A 22,907-nucleotide genomic window follows, 5' to 3' on the forward strand; every position below is an offset into this window, starting at 1 on the left:
AAAACGTTCTTAGCTCCAAGTCCCACTCTCTTTTCATCTTGCTGCAGGTTCCTCTTGAAATACTACACCAGGACAACCACACTAAGACCATAACGGAAAGAGAGGAATTAAACACTGGTAAGAATTCACCAATAACTGAGGATTGCTCAGATGCTTTTTCAAAGTGAGAGAAGGTATTTTAGCAATATTTTTATTACAGGTTACAAGCCACCCCCAAGTTAGAGAATTCTTTCATATCATATTTACTGCTACCAATATAACACATTAATGTAATTTTCCCTTTCTATGAAATAACATCTAAAGGATTCTACTGTGTAAAAGCATTGAAAGAGAAAAGCGAGATACTCACCCTCTGTGCCCGTTCTGCAATGGTAAAGTTAACATAACTGATTGGCTCACTGGCAGGGTCCAGGCTGGTCAGCGCATACATGGAGAATCGAGGGAGCTGTCTTGTCGATTCAAATACATGAAACTGGGTGCTATGGCCAATCAATGAAACACAAGAGAATTGTTTTGTATAGAATGTTCTTTCAAAATGCAAGGCCCAGAAAATAAAGCCACTTCTGGGTCATCAATTGATATTTAAGGGTTTCACTTAAGAAGGAACCCCCAAAACACTTGAGGGTTAAAGTACTACAGTAATATATTAGGTTTGGGATTTAAAGACAGCATGAGTCTACATATATACCTGCATGCACTAAGGGTTTAAAATATCATAAAGGGGATGTAAAAAGTATCTTATCTTCCACAAATAGAGCAGTTTTTCTTCACTAGCTGAGGTTATGTATGACTGTAATATAAAGGTGCATCCTAACTCTTGTAGTTTTAGTGGCCAAAACTACAAATTGACAAATCATCAATTAAACATTTTTTGATTATGAGATCACCTGACTAAAAACAGAAAATAATGATCTTAGCCAGGCGTGGTGGCTCATGCCTGTAATCCCAGCACTTTCGGAAGCCAAGGCGGGTGGATCACCTGAGGTCAGGAGTTCAAGACCAGCCTGGCCAACATGGTGAACTCCTGTCTCTACTAAAAATACAAAAATTAGCTGGGCGTGGTGGTGGGCACCTGTGGTCCCAGTACTCAGGAGGCTGAGGCAGAAGAATTGCTTGAACCCAGGAGGTAGAGGTTGCAGTGAACTGAGATTGCCCCACTGTACTCCAGCCTGGGTGACAAAGCTAGAATCTGTCTCAAAAAAAAAAAAAAAAAAAGAACCATCTTAAACTTACATATCAGTTTTTCCATTTTCTTTTTACAGGTTTCAAACTGAGGAAATAAAAGGTCATGAGAAACTTTGGGTAGACAGAACCATTAAATGGTTTCTCAGGCCCCCAAGAATCCACTGGGCATATGGAAAATTTATACATCTTGCCCTCCTCTAAGTGCTGTCCTGAAATGAACTGTGACTTGCAAAGGGTCACCTGCTTCTGTAACCCACGAATGCCTTCAAGTGCAGATCCACAGGGACATCTTTGGGAGGCACAATAGGGATGCAGATGGAACTGGAGAGGTTGTGAATGCTGGGATGTACCACGTGGCTTTCACCTGTAAAAATTCCTTCTGCAAAAATCAATACTGCTCGGATGATGGTGTCTGCAGGGAAGAGTAAAAACAGTTTAAGAACAACTCCAACTTTGGGAAGCTGAGGTGGGCAGATCACGAGGTCAGGAGGTCGAGACCATCTTGGCTAACACGGTGAAACCCTATCTCTACTAAAAATACAAAAAATTAGCTGGGCGTGGTGGTGGGCGCCTGTAGTCCCAGCTACTTGGGAGGCTGAGACAGGAGAATGGCATGAACCCGGGAGGCAGAGCTTGCAGTGAGCCAAGACAGAGGAAGACTCTGTCTCAAAAAAAAAAAAAAGAATGACTCCAAGATGGCACAGGTGCCTCTAAATACCAGCTGTGAGTACTGTCTTACCATTAGAAGTGGAAATGCGTAATTCTGTATGAGCAGTTTGGGTCTCATTCCCCAGGCTGACTGAGAGCGTGGTGTGGAGCCTGGTATTGGCTGGGATTATGCCCCGATGCCCATCAGCCTCGTTCAGTGGACTGGCCAATTCAGCCTGCAAAACACCCCACCCATTTCCTACTCAGTCACCAAAACACTGAACTAATATCAATTTTAAATAATATTGCTATTCAGCTTCAAAAGACAGAGCCTCCAGCATATTATTATTATTATAGTAATCTGATTCTTTAGAATTCAGAGAACTCACCTCATTAGTGCTCCCTTGCTCTATCTGGCCCTGTGGGAAAATACCCTTGCATCTTTCTATGGGTATGGTCCACTGTATCCCATCATGACTTTAACATTTTTGAAGTATTGTTCTTTTAAAGTAAGCAAACAAATTCCCTTGTTACATCAAATTCAAATACAGTAATGCATTACAGGACAAATTAAAGGAATATTTCAGCCAGTTTGCTGTATGCACACACACAGTTTTTACAGTTGTCTGTTTTTAACATGTTTGTTTTTGAAAAAGATAAAAGACATTCTATATTGTTCTTGCCTTTTGTCACTTGGTAAGACGACAGATATCCTTCCATATCAGTCCAAGTATTCATTCTTTGAGCTGCTTAATATTCCTTAGCACATACTCCCTACTGCTGACGAACATCTAAGTTTCTTCCAGCTGTTTTCACTGCTATAAATAAATAGTGCTGCAGGAAATGTCCTTAAACAATCAGGAAAACATTTCTACAGTTTAACTACCTGGAAATGAAATTTCAAGACGAAAGCATATATCCCCTCTCAATTCTGACAATGGCAAAAAGGCCACACCCTGGCAATGACACTCTCATTCTTCCATATTTGCTGATCCTCCCGGTCAGTCTCAACATTTCAGCCTCCATTACCTGGTCACATTAGGACCTACACCTACCTTGGCATTTTCCTCATAGTTACGGAGTTCCAGCAACAGATTCTGCTTCTTCTGACTCAGCTCTCGGATCAGGTCCTGCTCTGCACTGGTGTCCATGAGGTTGCCCCTCATCTCAGCCGTGCCAGGCAGGTAGCCCCGGACTGAACAGAAGGAAAAAACCGCAAGTATAACCAGGTATACTTTTAGGTCATCAATTACCTGCTCTTAAAAACAAAAACCTAAGTTCTCCCCAACTTTGGTGAATTTATTAGAACTACAGGATCTCGGTACAAATACTTCAGGTGAAATTTCCTGATATTTTGACCCAATCAAATGGAAAACGTGACTTTTTAAGGATTTTTCTCATCCCAATTTACTTTCCCCATCCACTGAGCAGCAGATTAACTGTATGTGGCCATCCATCCGGTAATCTCCCTCTACCACACCGGCAATTGCAGAAGAAAAATTGTCCTTAAAGATGACCTCCCCAGTTCGGTCACTTCGAGCATCAACCTACAAATAAAACACAAATTTAAAAGTTGCTTATGCTACATGTTTAAAAACCACAAAATTTAAAAATAAAAATCAGCTTTAAAGGTCATTTAGTCTAGCAGTTTTCAAGAGTATTCTATGAAGCCCTACAACTTCTCAGGAGATACCTATGACTGCTGGGGCCAAGAGGGACCCTAAAGAGCCTCAACCAGCTGTGCTTCCTTCTTTTTAAATAAAAGCTGTTTTTCATAGGCCTTCACACAATGCTTCACTTGAAGAAACGGGTCTGCTAAGAGCCAGTACATATAGTACACACAGCACAGTGCAAAAGGGCATGGGCTTAATGGCCAAACCGCTCAGGTTCAGAATCTAGCTCTGCCACGTACTATCCACAGCATCTTGCAAGTTTCTTAACCATTCTGTGCTTGGTCTTTTCATCTGGGGTTCAATAACCAGAACATGGAGAAATTAACAGTACTATATCCCATTGGGTATAACTGAGGCCTAATGAAGTTAACATATATCAACAGGGCCTGACACACAGAAGTACGTAATAAATGTTAGCTCTATATAAAAATTGTATCTTTATTATATATAAATGTATAAAGTATGTTGAATCTGAAGTTCAGAAACTACGGAGTTAGCCCAGTCTTCCACCATGCAACCTTTTACAACAACCCTGTTAAGAGTTCCTCTTCCACATAAAAACTATTCAGATACTTTAGAGAGCTCTCCTATCCTCTAAGTCTCCCATTTCCAAGAGAGAGAACAAATAAATAAATGACTGATCAGAAACAAATGCATCTCAAAAGTGATAATAAGTGACCATCACTTAAAATGAAGATTATGAGGCCGGGCACAGTGGCTCACGCCTGTAATGCCAGCACTTTGTGAGGCCGAGGCAGGCGGATCACGAGGTCAGGAAATCGAGACCATTCTGGCTAACATGGTGAAACCCTGTCTGTACTAAAAATACAAAAAATTAGCTGGGTGTGGTGGTACGCACCTGTAGTCCCAGCTACTAGGGAGGCTGAGGCAGGAGAATCGCTTGAACCCGGGAGGCGGAGGTTGCAGTGAGCCGAGATTGCGCCACTGCACTCCAGCCTGGGTGACAAAGCGAGACTCCAGTCTCAAAAAAAAAAAAAAAGATGATTATGTTCCAGGCAAGGACACAGGTATTATCAACAAAAGGCTAGCTACAGAAAATCTAGCATAGCAATCATTTCGATGACCAATGCTACTCACTAGTTTTGTCTTTTCATAAACAATCTTCTGGGCAAAACTTTGCAACCAAAACATAAAGTAATTTAGGTTACAGCCTACCCCTTGTCTACAGTATATCACTGTCAAGTATTAATGCTATTAATAACATCATGGAAGCCTGAAAATTATGAATGCTAAAGCCTGTGAAAGAACGAATGACCTGCATTTTTAACAAAGCACATTAATGTAGCCCTCTAACTCAGACTGACCTGAACTTGCTTCTTTCTAGTTAAAGCCTAGCTACCTAATGGCTTCTACCACTGCATTTCCACAATATTTAGCAAATAAGAAGGCTCATTTGCTAACTAAGAAGCAGGACTACAAATTAATATTTCTGTGGATATTCTGATCTTTTGCTTAATCCAACTGGGAGGTTTTACCCTGAAAGGAAAGGATGGCCCTCCAACTCATCAAATGACATACAAAAGACAAAGTTAATTGTCTAGCAGCATTTATTTAATATTTTCACACCTGTATTCACAAGTTGGATCTGTATATTTCCTTTTTGTATATTTCTGTTAGATGTAGATAATCGGTTTTTCCACTTATATAATTTTCTTATCTTTTTCATGCTCAGGAACGCATTACATAATAGAAATCCCTTAAAATTTCAAAAGCATTTAACTATAAAAACATCTAGGTCAACAATTATATTTCAAGGTAACCTGACAAGTTTTCAAGTCTAGTAGTTTTCTAATTCTTAAGTCAGTCATAATAATTTATATTCCCTCAAAATATGATCCACTGCTATGATCTGAATGTTTTTGCCCCCACAAATTCCTATGCTGAATCCTATTAGCCAAGGTAATGAATGGTATTGGCAAGTAGAGCTTGTGAGAGGTGATTAGGTCATAAGGGCAGAGCCCCCATGAACAGGATTAGTGCCCTATAAAAGAAGGCCCAGAGAGATCCCTTGCCCCTTCCACCCTGTAAGGCTCCTATGAGGAAGTGGTCCCTCACCAGACACTGAAACTGCCAACACCTTGATGGGGGCTTCCCAGCCTCCAGAACTATAAGAAATAAATTTCTGTTGTTTATAAGCCACCCACCCTATGGTATTTTGTTACAGCAGCCCAAACCAACTAAGACACCCATTTCACAGACTTTCATATTTCTTAATAAGCAACTATACAGTCTTATAATTTTTAGTACCCATACTAATGACAAAACTAAGTGAAGAAGCAGAAACCAACATAACAGCTTTTTAGAATCCGTTCTTCACGTAACACCAAAGGAATGCTTACAAGGTGCTAGAGAAAAGTAAAGATAAATCAAAGAAGAAAAGATAAGAATTTGCTGATCCCCTTCAGGCAATCCAACACTGACAGACAAGAAAGCGAGGGCAAATGGTATCCATGGAGATCTGGCAGCTACCTAGGCAGCTTCTAAGAAGACAATCCTGACTTGCCAAAAGACTGTAAAAAATTCTGATTTGAAGTTAAAAAAGGAAAGCAAGCAAAAGGATTTTATTTTAAAGTTATAGCTCAGAAAACAATATGCTAACATGATTCTTCCTATTAGTGCTAAGTTTTCAGGCAGTTTTGAAGATGTATTGGAAAAGAGCTATTCAAACAATTCCTTAAAACTCCTTTTTTACTGTTGTACTACCTAGAATCAATCTGGCTGATGGATTCTCAGCACTTCAAATAAGAGATTTAGACAGAATCTCCCCGAAGATTTCCCCCAAACACCGCTTATAAGACTTACACTCTCTCACTGTGCAGCTCTTGACAATGATAGCAGGAAGAATGTGTCAAGATTATTAAGTTAAATGTAAAAACATTGCCAAGGAACGAACTGAAGTTTACATCCCAATGTTACTGTTCTAAGTCCTACAGCCAATACACCTTGGACAATTACTACTCTGAATTATACCTGAACTTTGCTATTCAAACTTACCTTCCCATTGGACCAACCAGTTATCAGTTCATTCACTCCATCAGAATTAAGGTCAAAAGCATGAATGCTCATGGCATGATTTTTCGACTGAAAAAGAATTTTAATAATTAGCACAGAAGTCTCACAATAACTATCAAGCGCCTGAATATCAAAGGCTAAATTATACTAACTTTAATTCTCCAGTATCGGGATGTTTTGTCATAAACTCCAACTGTGCCATTGGAAAGGGCATAACCAAATCGACTGCCATACATGGGACAAAGAGAGGTGACTATCTGCAAAACAATCCACAAAAACACAACATCTTTTCATTAAGACTCAGTTTACTGTCAAGTACGGCTTTATAAGACTTCACACTCCTTGTTACAACTATGTTAAAATTAGATTTAAAAGCGCTTCCAATCCATTAGTGGGGAATGTATTCCTCTTCTCTACGATACATGTCATCTACTTCAGAGTTGTATAATCAGATTTAAATAAACTCACAGGGTTTGGTGTTTTAGAGCAACCTTATGTGGCAAGTTTCACAAAATTATTTTTAAAAAACACATGAAAACTGAAGGACTAAGGAAAACATAAGCTAACTACACAAGATCGAAAATATGCATATACAATAGATATTATATATGTTCACCCAAGAGGCTTTAATGATTATTACTTAACTTATAACATCCTACAGTCTCAATTTTTAAAAGACTTATAACAATACACAATTGAATATCTTACTTCATGTATACACTTTTCTTTCTATGACATAATTTGTTTGCTAGAGGTAAAAGAAAGAACACATAATCCTTTGAAAAGTAAAAACCCAGGCACGTGGATTTGTGTAGTATATAACAATATACAGAATGCATATATGATACAGAAATATTTATAGGACTGTTCAAGGATTTGACATCCTTAAAAGGATAAAATTTTAGGTACTGAACAAAACTTTCCTTTAAAGTTAAAACCAAAGCTTAATGATATCCATGATCCTGCAGATCTACTTTCTAATTCTGTTCCTAATACAAGAGATATTAAGAAATAAATTGTATAAAGCAGAGAATAGTTATATAATTTCCTTTACACCTACAGCTTTTCTACAAAACCACCCACTTCACTTAACTATGAATACAAAGTGCTGTGTAGGATTCCAGAATTATTTAGCTCAAGGCATTCTTCTGACAATACTTCATACTGTTCAACTGCCAAATGAATCATGATTTTGCTGATCTGGGAAATGATATTTGAGCTAGGAGCAAAACCTAACAAAGAGAACAGGAAAATGGCCCTGCAAGTGAACAATGTTATGAAGTCCATATTTTCATAAATTTAGCCCCAGATTCCTCAGCTCTTTTACTGCTTCCTTAGTTCACCAGTTTCTTCCTTTTGTGGACTAGAAGATCAACAAGTCCCCTCAAATCCCTAACTCTATTCCAGGTTCTTGTCCTCTTTTCTAGGATTTAGGAAAGAGATGTTTCAAAGAATTCAGTCTCCTCAAATCTAATATTAACAAGCAATAAAAATCCAACAAAATCTGAATGATTCCCACCAAAGGAGAAAAGATTTACCACAAATTAGAATGAAAGGGATATGAGAATTCGGGACACACCATCTATCAGCCAGGGATTCTCAAGTTGTTTTTTTTTGGTGGTGGGGGAGGTTGCAAACCCCTTTAAGAATGTAATGAAGGCTCCGGGCCCTCTCTTCAGAAAGCACATATAAGCACATACACACAAAACAGACTCCCGGGCCAGGCATGGTGGCTCATGCCTGTAATCCCAACACTTTGGGAGGCTGAGGCGGGTGGATCACCTGAGGTCAGGAGTTCAAGACCAGTCTGGCCAACATGACGAAACCCCATCTCTACTAAAAATACAAAAATTAGCTGGGCGCGGTGGCAGGTGCCTGTAATCCCAGCTACTCGGGAGGCTGAGGCAGGAGAATCACTTGAACCTGGGAGGCGGAGGTTGCAGTGAGCCAAGATCACGCCACTGCACTCCAGCATGGGCGACAAGAGCGAAACTCCATCTCAAAAAAATAATAAAATAAAAAACAGACTCCCTGTATAAACACACATCCTCAGACTGCTCCTTTTGGCACCCATTTCTCCTCTTCATTTCTTCTCTGTCCACAACTATCATCTTACATCATGATAACTGTGAATATATAAAAAGTATAGTAGGACTAAATAAAAACTGATGACTCTTGCTATAGGATAACTTAGTTAAAATCATTGGTAGCACTGTATGTCAATGTGTAGGTTTTGCTTTTTGTCTCCTTTTATAGTTAGGAGAAAAGAAGTCTGACCTTCTTAGGCAGCTTTTATGAGTGACATGAAGCAAGTAATTTAAAGACAAGTGGCCAAGGTCAGTTTTGAGACTAGTGCCCTCGAGCTTTTCTGATACAGACTCCTAAATACCACATAACTAAATTTTGCAAAATCCCACCATTCTGATCTCTAAGACTCTCTTTTACTGGTTTCTTTCTGTCCACTTACAACGTTCACAAGCTATTGCTCCTTTATCCTCTTATTCCTTAATTAAGAATATCTTATTTTTTTCTGTTTGAGTCTTGCCCAATCCTGGAAAACCAGCAGCAAATAAATATCCTAAGAATGTCAAAACCATAAAGGATACAGGTAATCTTTAGATAGTGCTTTTTGCTTTATTTTTGTCTTTATTTTCCTAACTCTTAACACTGTTACTTCTTAAAAATTTTATTTTTGAGACAGAGTCTTGTTCTCGTTGCCCCTGGGTGGAATGCAGTGGCGTGATCATAGCTCACTGTAGCCTCAAGCTCCTGGGCTCAAGGGATCCTCCTGCCTCAGTCTCCCAAGCAGCTGGGACTACAGACGTGTGCCATCACCTTCTGGCTAATTTTTTAATATTTTTTGTAGAGATGGAGTCTTGTTATGTTGCCCAGGCGGGTCTCAAACTCCTGGCCTCAAGTGATCCTCCCACCTTGGCCTCCCAAAGCACTGGGATTACAGGCATGAGCCACTGCACCAGGCCTAAACATCAGGCCTAAACAACCTGGGATATTAAGAAATATCTCAGGTTCAGTTACATGAGTGATTCTAATCACAAGTTCTATAATTTTTAAGTTTACCTACAGAAATGTGCCAAAGAAGTACTGAATTTGCAGGAAGAAAAAAATATAGACATCTCATTTATGCACTTCAGCCCTACTGAATACACATGATGAGGAGGAAGGGGCATAAAGGTTCAAATGCTGACCATGCCATTTCATAGCCAAGACTACGTACAAGTAACTTAACAAAAAATACAGGCGCGGTGGGTCACCCCTGTAATCCCAACACTTTGGGAGGCCAAGGTGGGCGGATCACTTGAGGTCTGGAGTTCAACACCAGCCTGGCCAACATGGTGAAACCCCGTCTCTATTAAAAACACAAAAATTACCCAGGCGTGGTGGTGCGTGCCTGTAGTCCCAGCTACTCAGGAGGCTGAGGCATGCGAATCACTTGAACTTGGGAGGTGGAGCTTGCAGTAAGCCGAGATCGCACCACCGCACTCCAGCCTGGGTGATGGAGTAAAACTCTGCCTCAAAACAAACAAACAAACAAACAAAAAACCAGAACACCATTTTCCTCATCTATAGAAATAATAATAATTTATCTTCCTATTAGGGTTGTTGTAAGGATTCAATATGTTACTTCATATAAAGTACTTAGAGCACTACCTGGCATACAATAGGTACATAATAAATGATTGCCATTATTATTATTTGCATGTATTAACTCATTAAAAGAAATGCCTTTATGTATTCAACTATATGCAATAATTTTTCTCTATTTAATCAGTCTTTTCAAAATATATCTTAATTAGGATTTTTATTGCTTTTCTTACCATAACATACAGCTCTGTCTGACCCCCTCCCCAAGCTTTTATCCTAAAACCACCTGGGTTTGGAGATGCCCCAGCACTCTCACTTGATGTTTCATCTGACAGTACTGATCTATCTTGCTCAAGGTTACCATAGTTCGAGGTGGAGCTTCTTACCTCTGTTTCTGTCATTTCTGCCACAATCTCATCTTCCTTAAAAACTCGGATATCAAAATCCTCAGATCCAACAAGAAGCTGAAGGGGAAATATCATACATGTTCAGGTGAGTAAGTGCAAACAACAAAATTTCTGTAAACAAAACAAAAAATTGCACAGTACTTTGCATGCTGCTTCTGCCACCCAAGATTGACAACCTCATAATCGTTTGATGCTCAGAAATGCTCCCTCTAATGGGAGGATCAGCAGATTCAATCAATGAAGGAACAGGGGCTACTGCAGCTTTTATCCTGCCATGGGAGCTGCACATCTTGCCAGAATACGTTATTTCCCTGAGTACCTGAAAAGGCTCCCTGGATCAGCAACTTTCTCTGCCTACAGATGGAAGCCCTGTTCAAACACCAGAGTCCAGTGTCCATGGACAAGAGAGGGGCAAGTCGGTGCCCAACACAGCACGTCACACCTACTAACTGCTCAAGAAGCTAATTTCTAGGGTAACCATAAGAATAATTTCAAAGGCTAAAAGCCAATCTCTAAAACATTTAGATTCCTCAAAACAGTTGGCCAAAATTGAAAACTATATACTAATATGGTTTCAAAGCATCAGGAGCAATTCATAAGACCGTGAATATGACTGAAATCCCAACTCTTCTACCCTCTCTGCCCTCTCCTGTGTCTCTGAAACACCATGGCTTTGATCTTTGTATTTATTACACAAGCACAAGTGATTTATTGTTCAAAAGAGAAGAGAAAGACGAATGGGGCCAACTGGCTGAGCATTTAGGCAACAGAGCACCAAAATCAGCCAGGAGAAGCTTACACTTCTGTCAACACTAATGTCACTGTCATGGCAAAATTCATTTGGCTGAACACACAAGAGAGATATCTCCTCCCCCACATACCTCTTTCTTTCCATCACCATCAAAGTCACACAAGGCCAAGGAATTAACATTGTCTCCAGTAACCTGAAAATAAAACCCCAAACCATTAGCATGCCATCGTTTCTCCATTTACTCCAAATATATTAGCTACATGAAGGAGAGGATTACACAAAACACGAATGAATGCTATTCGAATTATTCATATCCTTTTTTAATGCACAGAATTATAAATATTATTACTCAGTAGAGTTGGTGGTTAAAAAAGAACATTAAAAGTAAAAATGCTTAAGGGTACCAAAAAGAATGTTTTCTTCTTCATACCGTCCAAAAGAGATCACTTCCTTCATGATTGAAACCTTGCAGAGCACAATTGCCACCAATAATCGCAAGAGGGGAAGAAATGTCTCCCAATGTCCCCAGCACAATTGCATTTGCCCCATCTGCTACCTAAGAAAAGTAAAAGGACACATTATCTTAGACACGATAATATGCAGGCCCACATATTAATTGGGCCAAATTTTGAGTAAACTGAGCAGATTTTGAGTAAAACAGATTATTATCCATAATGTGGGTGGGCCTCACACATTAACTGGCCCACGCACATATGGATAATAATCTACTTTACTATTAAGTCCTTCAATACTTTCTATTAAGAACTTTCTATCAAGTATTGAAGGACTTAATAGAAAAAAGACTGACCTCCCCCAAGGAAGAAGGGATTCTACCAGCAGACAGCCTTTGTACTTGAGCTTCAACATCAATTCTCTCCTAGATCTCCAGCCTGCTGGCCCACCATGCAGATTTTTGACTTGCCAGGCTCCACAACTGCATAAGCCAATTCCTGAAAATAAATATTTCCCCCTCTAATATGTACATGTCCTATTGGTTCTGTTTCTCTGGAGAACCCTGACTAATACAGTCCTAAACTCGATTTCACTTCTGAACAAAAACGATGTGACCTTGAAATAGGCAAAGGGCAGAAAAAGTCCTAACCACTAAAGAAAAAATGTGATCAGCTGGACTTCACAAAAATGCAAAACTTTTGCTCATCAAAAGACACATGCCTAGTGGAACAAGCCACAGGCTGGGAGAAAATATTTATTATATATAAATCTGACAAAGAGTTTGTATCCAGTATATCCAAGAAATGTCTACAAATCAATAATAAAGAGACAAACTACCAATAAAAAATAGGCAAAAGACTTAAGACACTTCACGGAAGACACATAAATGTCCATTTATGCACAAGAAAAGGTGCTCTGCATCAATGATTATCAGGGAAATGCAAAATGAAACCACACCTAAGATATCACTTCACACCTTCCAAAATGGCTAAAATTAAAGACTGGCAACAACAAATGTTGACAAAGGATGTGGAGCAACTGGAACTCTCCTACACTGCAGGCAGGAGTATAAAGTGATACAACCACTTTGCAAAAACAGTTTCACAGTGTCATAAAGTTCTTATAAACCACATAGCCCAGCAATTCCACTCTTGGGTATTTACCCAAGATAAATTAAAACATATATCTACAAAAAGTCTTATATAAAAAAGTCTTATTAAAAACAAGTCTTAAACAAAAATGGTTGTTAAAAACTGAAACAATCCAAATGTCCAGCCACTTGTCTATCACCAAGAGAGTGGATAAACAAACCATAGTATATTCACACAATGGAATATACTATTTTTGTTGCTTAGCAACAACAACAAAAGACTACTTTTATATGCAACAATATGGATAATTCTTACAAGTATTATGTTAAGTGAAAGAAGCCAGACACTATTTGTATGGAGTTCAACAACAGGAAAAGCTAATCTAAGCTGACAGAAGTCAGAACAGTGATTGTCTATGGGAGATAGAAATTGACTGGAATGGGGTACAACAATATTTTCTGAGGTGATGAAAATGTTCTCTATTTTTATTGGGGTATTGGTTATAGGGATCCAAACTCATTGAACTGTACACAGAAGGTCTGTGCATTTTCATGTATGTACATTTTACCTCAACAAAAAATAGACAAAGAAGAAAACCAGCCAAATGCAGTGGCTCACATCTATAATTACAACACTTTGGGAAGCTGAGGCAGGAAGACTGCTTTAGCCCAGGAGTTTGAGACCAGCCTGGCCAACATAGTGAGACCCTATCTCTCTAAAAAATAAACAATTAGCTGGGTGTGGTAGTACACACCTGTAGTCCCAGCTACTCAGAAGGCTGAGGTGGGAGAATTGCTTGAGCCCATGAGGTCAAGGCTGCAGTAAGCCATGATCATGCCACTGCACTCCAGCCTGGGTGACAGAGCAAGACTCTGTCTCAGAAAACAAAAACAAAAAGAAAGAAAACCATCTGCATTTTCAGGAACTTATCCTCAGGAAATAATCAGGGAAGTGGTCAAAGAGATACAGTTATTACACTATGAACTGTAATACAGAAACAATGGAAATAACATAAATGTTCAACAACATGGAACGGTTAAACAAATTACATTAACACAATGAAATACTACAGAACCAATAAGAATGACATAACGGGTATGTAGTAACTTCATATAAAGATGTTCACAACATATTATTGAATGAAAGAGCCACACATAATAGCCAGGGAGTGGAATGTCCATTAACTGATAAATGGATAAATAAAATGTGGTATATACATACAATGGAATATTATTCAGCCATAAAAGTGAATTACTGACACATGCTACAACATGGATCAACCTTGAAAATATCATGCTAAGAAAAAGAAGGCAGTCACAAATGATTACATATTATATAATTCCATTGTTTATGAAATGTCTAGAATATGCAAACTTCTAGAGACAGAAAGTAGATAACTGGTTGCCTAAGGTTAGGAGGTTAAAGAAAAATGGGGAGTGATACTAATGGGTATGGGTTTTTTAGGGGGTAATAAAAATGTTGAAAATTGATGATGGTGATGGTTGTACAGCTCTCTGGATACACTAAAAACCACTGAATTGTATACTTTAAGTAGGTTAGTTGTACATGTGAATCATATCTTAATAAAGCTGCTATAGGGTAAAAACAAGTAAAAGGCTACATGTATATATGACCCCATTTTACTACAAAATGTATTCATATATGCTTGGTAAAAAATCTGGATTCAAAAACTCAACAGTTAAGTGCTCTTTCTAGATGAAAAAATAGGTGTAATTTCTTTTACTTTTTACTTCCTTATCTTTTCTGTAACAAATATGAATTGCTTGGGTATTAAAGTTGCAGCAGCCTGTAGGTGGCAGGCTACAGTAAGGGCTTCTACAAACTATTGCACTAAACTTGAATGCAAGTCCACCAGGAGACCTGTCTATTGGCTTCCCAGCTCTTGGCTGAATTCTCAACAGATCTTGACAGATGGCAGTATCACAGATATACCTCATAGAGATAAGCTCGAGTGTCACCAAGCGATTAGCAACCATAACCAAATAAATAAGTTCCGAGTACATAAAGCAGATGTTAACAGCAAAATCTCCATGTTGTTTACCTATACTATAACAGTCATACAACAAACAGACCAAAATAAATGATCTGATCTCTTCTAAGCATAAAAAATGGACATTAATGAGTAATGACAATTTTATGGTTATAAAGGTTATACTTGCCTCTCTGTAGAACAAATCCGAATTATTGTAGACATCATAAGCCAAAAGATTAGTCTGTGTCCCCACTAAAAGGGCATCATAGCCAAGCTCAGGGTTCAATACGCCTGCAGTCAGACAGCTGACTGCCTGGTTAATGCTGAGAAGAGAAACATCAGATTCCAGGGGGCTCTGGAAGACCCTGGATGCACTGACATGCTGGTTCCGTGTATGAGGATTATGAATAAAAACCTGAAACAAAAATAACTAATTACATTCCCTTAAAATATAAAAAATTAGTATCATACATTTTTTTAAAAAAGAACCAGGTTATTAACACATCCACATTAACAAGAGGTCACTTTAATCTCCTATGAAACTTAAAACACTCGTACATAGTTCAATGCATGGACAACTTTCAGTCATTATGAAATCACGGAAATCCAGTGGTTCTTAGCCTTGTAAGGAACAAGGTAATGAACAAGATCTAGTCACTGCTTACCAGGCCAGCTTACATGCTACCCACCAGCAGGATGTCAAAGCACTCTTAGGAGCTAGCCTTTTCCCGATCAACCTAGAATAAGCTGCTACCACCTTCAATGTGATTGCCACACACCAAGAAGATCATGGAAAACAGAATAAACACTTCCTTTATTATCTTTCATCCAAGCACCTAATGAATCACTTCCTAGACCTTAAAATGGTCTGCTAGTTAGTAAACCTGTTTCACAAACTTAAACCGAGTCATGCAAATCAAGTATCTTGAAGGCTTTCACAGTTTATACCAGTGACATAGAACTAAGTAATTAGCCCAAAGATAATAAATTCAACAGTTTCAACTATCATAAATATAATCTGAGTGTCTGCATAAATTATTCAACTTTCCTAGACTTCACCTGTAAAAAGGAGGTTTGGACTATAAAATGCAGTCTTAAGAGGGGCGAGATCACTCCCAGGACAGGTAAATGGGTTTGCGATGGGGAATCGTGTAGCCCTTCGCAGGACCACAGTACAAAAAGAGATACAAAGTATATCTGAGGTATCAGAATTTCACTGGGAAAATTTTCTTGGTCTAAAAAAGTTCCAAGGTGGGCAATATGACCAAAAAGGTTGGGAGGATGAAAAACACTGGACTAGGGATCCCTCTAGCCCCTTCTAGTTCTAAAATTTTTAAAATTTACATGAGTATTTCATCTCTTTCACATAAATCCAAACAGAATTAATTTTAAATTAACACCTACCCAAGGCAGCCTATTCAACAAAAAATAATTTTCAAAAGAATTGACTAAAAACATAGAAAACGTGCAGCCACTGAACACTGCCTTCATGTTCCGTTTGTGTAACACTTTATAACATGCCTTGGTCAATGTTAATTGCATTTGAACCTGACACCAACCCTTCATTTCCATATGAGGTCGGAAGAGTTAAGGCCCTTTGCCAAGGTCTTGAGACTGGTGACAGGGCTAAGACAAGAGCCTGGTGTGCTCCAGGCCCTGCGCTCCAGCCACCACCACATCACACTTCCTTTTATAACAGTTCTGAACAAACCAATTCTTACAAAGTTTTCCAGAAATCCAATATGCTGAGAAAGTACAGGAGCAGAAATAGCTTACGGGCTCCATATTCATTCTTACCGGAATGGAAAGAGTTTGCAATTTTTGTCAAGAGCAACAAGGATCTCAGGAGTCAGACTTTCCCCCAGTTCCCTCCTGCTGTTCTCTACACTCAAAGAGAGTCCACAGGGAGACAAGTCTGTCCCTTCAGGCAAGGAAAGAAAGCCAATCTCAGTCATACGACAAAAAGACCACTCCCAGGGCTTTCAAAGGACTTGCTGAAGTTCACACTTTTGTTCTAGCTGAGGAGGTGCTGCAAACAATATAAATTCAACTGACCCCTAAGCATTACCATGAGAGAAAAAATGTCCCCAGAGGAAAACTCTAATATTCACCCTGCAAGAGATTCCTTTTATTTATTTATATGTTTTTTGAGACGGAGTCTTGCTCTATTGCCCAGGCTGGAGTACAGTGGTGCAATCTCAGCTCACTGCAACCTCTGCCTCCTGGGTCCTAGGGATTCTCCTGCCTCAGCCTCCCGAGTAGCTGGGATTACAGGGGTGCGCCACTACGCCCAGCTAATTTTTGTATTTTTAGTAGAGACAGGGTTTCAGTCGGCCAGGTTGGTGTCGAACTCCTAACCTCAGTTGATCTGCCCCTCTCAGCCTCCCAAAGTACTGGGATTGCAGGTGTTGAGCCACCATGCCCGGCCAGAGATTCCTTTTAAAAAAATATCCTTGCTAAGGCTCAGAGTCAGCTCCATGTTCACAACAGGGTCCCAGCTGTAAGGATAAAGTCCTGTTTCTAGACATGCAGGCTTTAACCCTAGCTGGAATGTTTTAATTGCTTTTAAGAAAATATATTCATGGCATTACTTGAGTCATAAAATACTACTAATTCTTTTTAAGGTCTCAAGATAAAAGATCAGGTCAGAACTTTTTAGATTTGTTTACAGAGCTGAACACAAAGTATCCATCCAGTTACACAGGACAAGGGATCTCCTTTATTTTATTTATTATTATTATTATTATTATTAGGCCATTTTCGACAACAGCCCTACAATCAAGCATTCCTGCCTTCCACTCCAGGTCACACTCTATCTAAGGGCTGCCCTAGGGACCTCTGCCCGATCTCCCTGCTTCTACTCCGACACCTACCTCCCTACATCCCGTCACAGAACATCTGTTCTCCACATACCAGCCAGTTAGCCTTTATCTAAAACATAAAGCAAATTCCAACACCCACTTTATCAAAATCCTCAGGGACTTCCTAACTTACTCAGTATAAAAACCAAGGTCTTTGCCATGGCCTACAAGTTCCTATATGATCTGGCTTGTGTCTACCTCATGACCACCCTCATTGCCTTCCAGCCCCAGCGGCTTCCTTGTGCTCCTGAAACACACCATGCATATCTCCAGCTCAAGGCCCTTGCACCTGCAGATCCCTCTGCCTGCAAGGCGCTTATCCCACAAATCTGCAGAGCTTGTTTCCTCAGTTCCTTCAAACCTCTTATCAAATGTTATTAGAGGCCATCTGACCACCTGTCTAAGACACCAAGCTCCCATCACACTGAATCCCTTATTCTTTTTCTCCTATGAAAACACTTGCATATTCAGTTAACTACCTGGTTCCCCCTCTCAAATGTAAGCTCCAAGGGGGCAAAAACTTGTCTGTCACATTCTCCAATGCACCTGCAGAGCTAAGAAGACTGCCCAGCACATAGTAAGCCCTCAAATTAGGGGCTGAGTTAATACCAATGGGATATTTTCAGCCCATTTATAAATCTGCTATGCACCTACAGCACAAGCAACATGAAGTTCTTTTTGGCATTTGTCAGTGCTTTTTTTTTTTTTTTTGAGACCGAGTCTCACTCTGTCGCCCAGGCTGGAGTGCAATGGCACGGTCTCGGCTCCCTGCAACCTCCACCTCCTAGGTTCAGGTGATTCTCCTGCCTCAACCTCCCGAGTAGCTAGTATTATAGGCACCTACCACACCTGGCTAATTTTTGTATTTTTAGTAGAGACAGGGTTTCACCATGCTGGCCAGGTTGGTCTTGAACTCCTGACCTCAGATGATCTGCCTGCCTCAGCCTCTCAAAGTGCTGGGATTACAGGCATGAGTCACTGCACCCAGCCTGTCAGTGACTTCTAACTGTAACAATAACTAACATCATGATGTGCCAGACCCCGTATTAATAGCTTAACTCTGTTATACTACTTAATGAAAATGAAGCCTTATTTTTTACTTCTGTATCCCAAGGCATATAACATACAATATACATGGAAGTGTCCTAAAAACTATAAATTGTTACACAAATCCTAGCTTATTAAATCCACACTGGATCAGAGAACATGCACTCTGACCACATTCCACACTTTCTAGTTGAGTGGCTCCAAGCACTGTATTGAACCTCTCTGAACTGCAATTTCTAGTCAATAAAGTGAGAACCATAAAAAGAAAATAACAGGTAACAATCAGTGACCACTTCCTATATGTCAAGCACTTTACATGTATTAACTTTTTTAAAGCTCATGACCCCACGTATTAGGTACTATTATTAAGTGCCTTGCCCAAGGTCATGAAATTAGTAGGTACTGGAGCCAAGAAACACCATCCCTATGCCATGCTGCTGCCGTTGGCCTTGTGACAACGACGCTGAGATGACTCATGTAATAAAGTTTTGTGCCTGTTATAAGTTATTAGCGTTGTCACTACATTCCATGTATTTTGGGCATGCCTCCGTCAAATACACAGGGCTCTGATTTGCCTTGTCTGTTAGCTTCTGGACTATAAGCTTTCTGAAAGTAGGGACTCCTTTTACATCCGAGTCTCCAAAATCTATACAGAAGGTGTTTAGTAGAAGTCTGGTGAATGTTACATGATTTCTCTTTTATCTCTTTGACTCTCACATCTTGCCCAGTAATCGCACATAGTAAACACCTAATACTTAGTGAATAAATTACGGGGAAAGAACTGAATGTACATGGGCAAGGATCAAAAGTGCAATTTGAATAAGTTAATTTTTGTATTGCATTCTTTTGTCGTTGTTCGGTAAAGGACTGTGAAAGGCTGGGTGCAGTGGCTCACGCCTGTAATCCTAGTACTTTGGGAGGCCGAGGCAGGTAAATCACTTGAGGTCAGGAGTTCGAGACCAGCCTGGCCAACATGGTGAAATCCTGTCTCTACTAAAAATACAAAAATTAGCCAGGCGTGGTGGCGGGCGCCTGTAATCTCAGATACTCGGGAGGCTGAGGCAGGAGAATTGCAGGAACCCGGGAGGCGGAGGCTGCAGCGACCCGAGATTGCGCCACTGCACTCCAGCCTGGGCGACAGGGCAAGACTCCGTCTCAAAAAAAAAAAAAAAAAAAGGAAGAAGAAGCAGTGTTAGAGAGTCAGAGGAATTCCGAGTTCCAAGTGACAAGCAGAGGCCCCTGGCTTGAATCTGGGGTCGGTTATTACTGCTAACCCGAACCAAACCCCTTCCCTCAGGAGACGTCTCTTTTCTAAGCTCCCTATGTCCAGGGACCCCGACCTCGCCTGACTCCAAGTGCCTGATGACAAGAAAACGTCAACTTCTCAGAAAAGCTCTTCCTCTAAGACCCCACTGTCCTCTGCAGGATGGAGCCACAAGGTGCTCGCCGACCGGTTGCCGGGCAACACGGGCTGGGGGCGGGGTCGGAGAGGGGACGGGATCCCAGGGGCGCGGCCGGCGGAGATCCTGTGGTTCCCTGGGGCCCGGGCTCCCTGCGGGTGGGAGCGGTTACCTTGCCCGTTTGGGTGGCGGCCGCCAGGCACGGGTGAGTCCCGTCGTAGCGCCCTATGGCCACCATTCGGGGGCTGATTTTGTGGCGCAGTTTCAGGGTGAACACAGGCAGCAGCATGATGGCGGCGGCTTAGGGGAGGAGGGCTGGAAGCTGGAGACAAGCGCAGCGGAGCTGGCCTCACGCGCCCGGGCAAGAAGTGCAGGGACACTACCTGCGCGGCCCCAGCCGCCTCAGGCCGGACGCGAAACAGCCCGGGACGAACCCGTCCAGGTACCGCCTGCTCCTCCTGCGGCGGCGCAGACCCGTCCGCTCTTTTTGCGGCTGCGCGGTGGAGCCTCGGCGCCTTCTGTGGCTGCGCAGTGGAGCCTCGGCGCCTTTTGCGGCTGCGCAGTGGAACCCCTGCTGGGCCGCGGGTGCGGTTGTTTCCCACTGCAGTAATTTACTCCTGCGGGTTGAACTCTACTGACGAGCCTACATGCTCAGCCCAGAGGCTTCCCCTTCTAGCACCACATCCAAGCTGCACCCTGCAAACTTGACACAATGCTACCCCACTCCAGAAGGTCATTAATTCAAGAAATATTCCTTGAGTGTCGGCTCTGTCCCTTGCTTTAGCCGTTGTATGGAGGAAAACCATACCAATCCTTAGACTCACGTTCGGTCTAGGGCTCCTGGTAAGGCTCCCTATATATTTTTAAGTGCAAACCAGCAAAATTGAAAAGTGACCAACAGAATTTCCTTGAGGGCCTATTGTGTGTCAGACACTGTGCTAGATAATAAATAGTAGTAAACAAAAGACAAACCTCTGCTTTCCTGGAACTGACATACTAGTCAGGGGAGACAAGCACTAAACAAGAAATGCATGTCATTTGGTAGTGAGCACTAGAGAAAATTAAGGGAAGGAAGAGGGGAGAGAGGATTGGAGGGAATGCAGTGTTAAGTAGGGTGGTAGGAAAGAGACCTCTCTGAGAAAGTGACCTTCAGCCTAGGACTATTAGGAAGTGAGGAAGCCAGCCTCGAGGGAGGCTGTTCCTGCAGAGGAACTTCAGGTGAGGCCCCCGGGGCTCACTCTGCTGCCTTCTGGAAATGGACAATCTGGGGTGGATGATGAGATGAGCAAGGACCACTAGTGGAGACTTGGAGTAGCCAGCAAGGAAGTACAATCAGGAGAGTATAGTGTCCTGGAAGCTCGAAGAGAGGGTGGCCAGAAGGAGGAAAACAACTGTGTCAGATGCTGCGGGCCAGTTTTGAAAGATGAGTTCTGGGCCAGGGGCGGTGGTTCACCCCTGTAATCCCAGCACTTTGGGAGGCCGAGGCGAGCGGATCACTTGAGGTCAAGAGTTCGAGACCAGCCCGGCCAACATGATGCAACCCTGTCTCTACTAAAAATACAAAAATTTACTGGGTGTGGTGGTGGGCACCTGTAGTCCCAGCTACTCGGGAGGCTGAGGCAGGAGAATCGCTTGAACCAGGAGGCGGAGGTTGCAGTGAGCTGAGATCTTGCCACTGCACTCGAGCCTGGGTGACAGAGCGAGACTCCATCTCAAAGAAAAAAAAGAAAGATGAGTTCTGGAATATTCTTGATACTTGCATTTTGTAATTACAGTTATACAAATGAGCATTTTTTTCAACCCTGTTGGTGTGTCTGTGACTATTTGTAACCTCTTTTGGAGATAATATCAAAATACTAAATAATGTTAAAAGACTAAGTTTGAAAGTTGTTACTTTTTAAAAGTTGATTTTTATTTTATTTTATTTAGAGACGAGGTCTCATGCTGTCACCCAAGCTGGAGTGCAGTGGTGCCATCACAGCTCACTGTAATCTCGAACTCTTGCCTCAAGTGATCCTCCAGCCTCGGCCTCCCAAAGTGCTAGGATTATAGGTGTAAGCCACTACTCCCAGCCTAAATTTAAAGATCTCGATGGAATGTAAGACCTGAGTCAGTGGCCCTCCAGGCCCCCTCTGATGGACCATGCTTCTAAGACCCAGCCTCTTTCTATCCTGTCTCCACCCCCACCCTTCTGTCACCTGTCTACACCCAAGTCCTATAGCAGCTCCCTGACCAGCGGTGCCATGGAAATTACCCTGGGTCATTGGAACTTACTTCGTTTTGTGATGTCCCTTCTCTTTAGTCCCCAGATTCTACCTACACAAAGTCATCATCTCACTGAATTCACTCAGCTGTGTTACTAGCTGATCACAGCTTGATCAGCTACCTCTCCCAGGAATAGCTTGAAAGGAATGACTCTAATAGACATCATTTCAGATCCTTTATTTTTTCCTGGAAAACATTTATTGAGGGTATCCATGTTCTAGACGGTGTTGAAGGACCTAGGGATACAGCAGTGAACAAGAAAGATATAATTCATACACTTATGGAGTTTACATCCTCTAGGGGATAGGAAGCAATAGACACTAAACATGAAAACAAGTAAGATCATTTCATTTGGCGAGAAGGCTGATGTTCTAGGGCTCAAGAAGTTCTCTTAGAGGAAGTAACATTTGAACCAAGAGCTTTGTGACAAGAAAGTGGCAGCCATTCAAAGATGTGAGGGATGGACAGTCTAGACAGAGGGAACAGCAAGGACACAG

At 41.3% G+C, this 22,907-nt stretch overlaps 1 protein-coding gene across 8 annotated transcripts in view, besides 3 other annotated features; it reads right to left on the minus strand.

Moving 5' to 3' along the window:
* Positions 1-20,596, minus strand: part of BBS2 (Bardet-Biedl syndrome 2) — a 49,622-nt gene extending 29,026 nt beyond the window's left edge. For 4 of the 8 annotated variants that reach the window (NR_165294.1, NR_165293.1, NM_001377456.1 and 1 more), the window contains exons 1-12: positions 20,318-20,596; positions 15,025-15,252; positions 11,731-11,856; positions 11,431-11,493; positions 10,529-10,606; positions 6,692-6,796; positions 6,522-6,608; positions 3,245-3,380; positions 2,889-3,028; positions 1,925-2,069; positions 1,426-1,597; positions 350-479 (exon numbers count right to left, since the gene is read on the minus strand). Coding sequence is in view for 3 of the 8 variants with exons in the window: in NM_001377456.1 (NP_001364385.1) it covers positions 350-479; positions 1,426-1,597; positions 1,925-2,069; positions 2,889-3,028; positions 3,245-3,380; positions 6,522-6,608; positions 6,692-6,796; positions 10,529-10,606; positions 11,431-11,493; positions 11,731-11,856; positions 15,025-15,252; positions 20,318-20,434 (1,527 nt within the window). In the remaining 5 variants the exon portion in view is untranslated. The other 4 variants (NR_165297.1, NR_165296.1, NR_165295.1 and 1 more) reach the window with 2 other exon arrangements.
* Positions 7,589-7,883: a silencer, noted in NCBI's record as "tiled region #6357; K562 Repressive non-DNase unmatched - State 23:Low". NCBI's record gives its function as "represses a minimal TATA promoter and a strong SV40 promoter by Sharpr-MPRA in K562 cells {active_cell/tissue: K562}" and the evidence as "EXISTENCE:reporter gene assay evidence [ECO:0000049][PMID:27701403]".
* Positions 20,130-20,289: a silencer, noted in NCBI's record as "silent region_7509". NCBI's record gives its function as "represses an Ori minimal core promoter by ATAC-STARR-seq in GM12878 lymphoblastoid cells {active_cell/tissue: GM12878}" and the evidence as "EXISTENCE:reporter gene assay evidence [ECO:0000049][PMID:35858748]".
* Positions 20,930-20,999: an enhancer, noted in NCBI's record as "active region_10851". NCBI's record gives its function as "activates an Ori minimal core promoter by ATAC-STARR-seq in GM12878 lymphoblastoid cells {active_cell/tissue: GM12878}" and the evidence as "EXISTENCE:reporter gene assay evidence [ECO:0000049][PMID:35858748]".

Source organism: Homo sapiens, chromosome 16 (assembly GCF_000001405.40).
Source record: "Homo sapiens chromosome 16, GRCh38.p14 Primary Assembly".
NCBI classification, from domain to species: domain Eukaryota; kingdom Metazoa; phylum Chordata; class Mammalia; order Primates; family Hominidae; genus Homo; species Homo sapiens.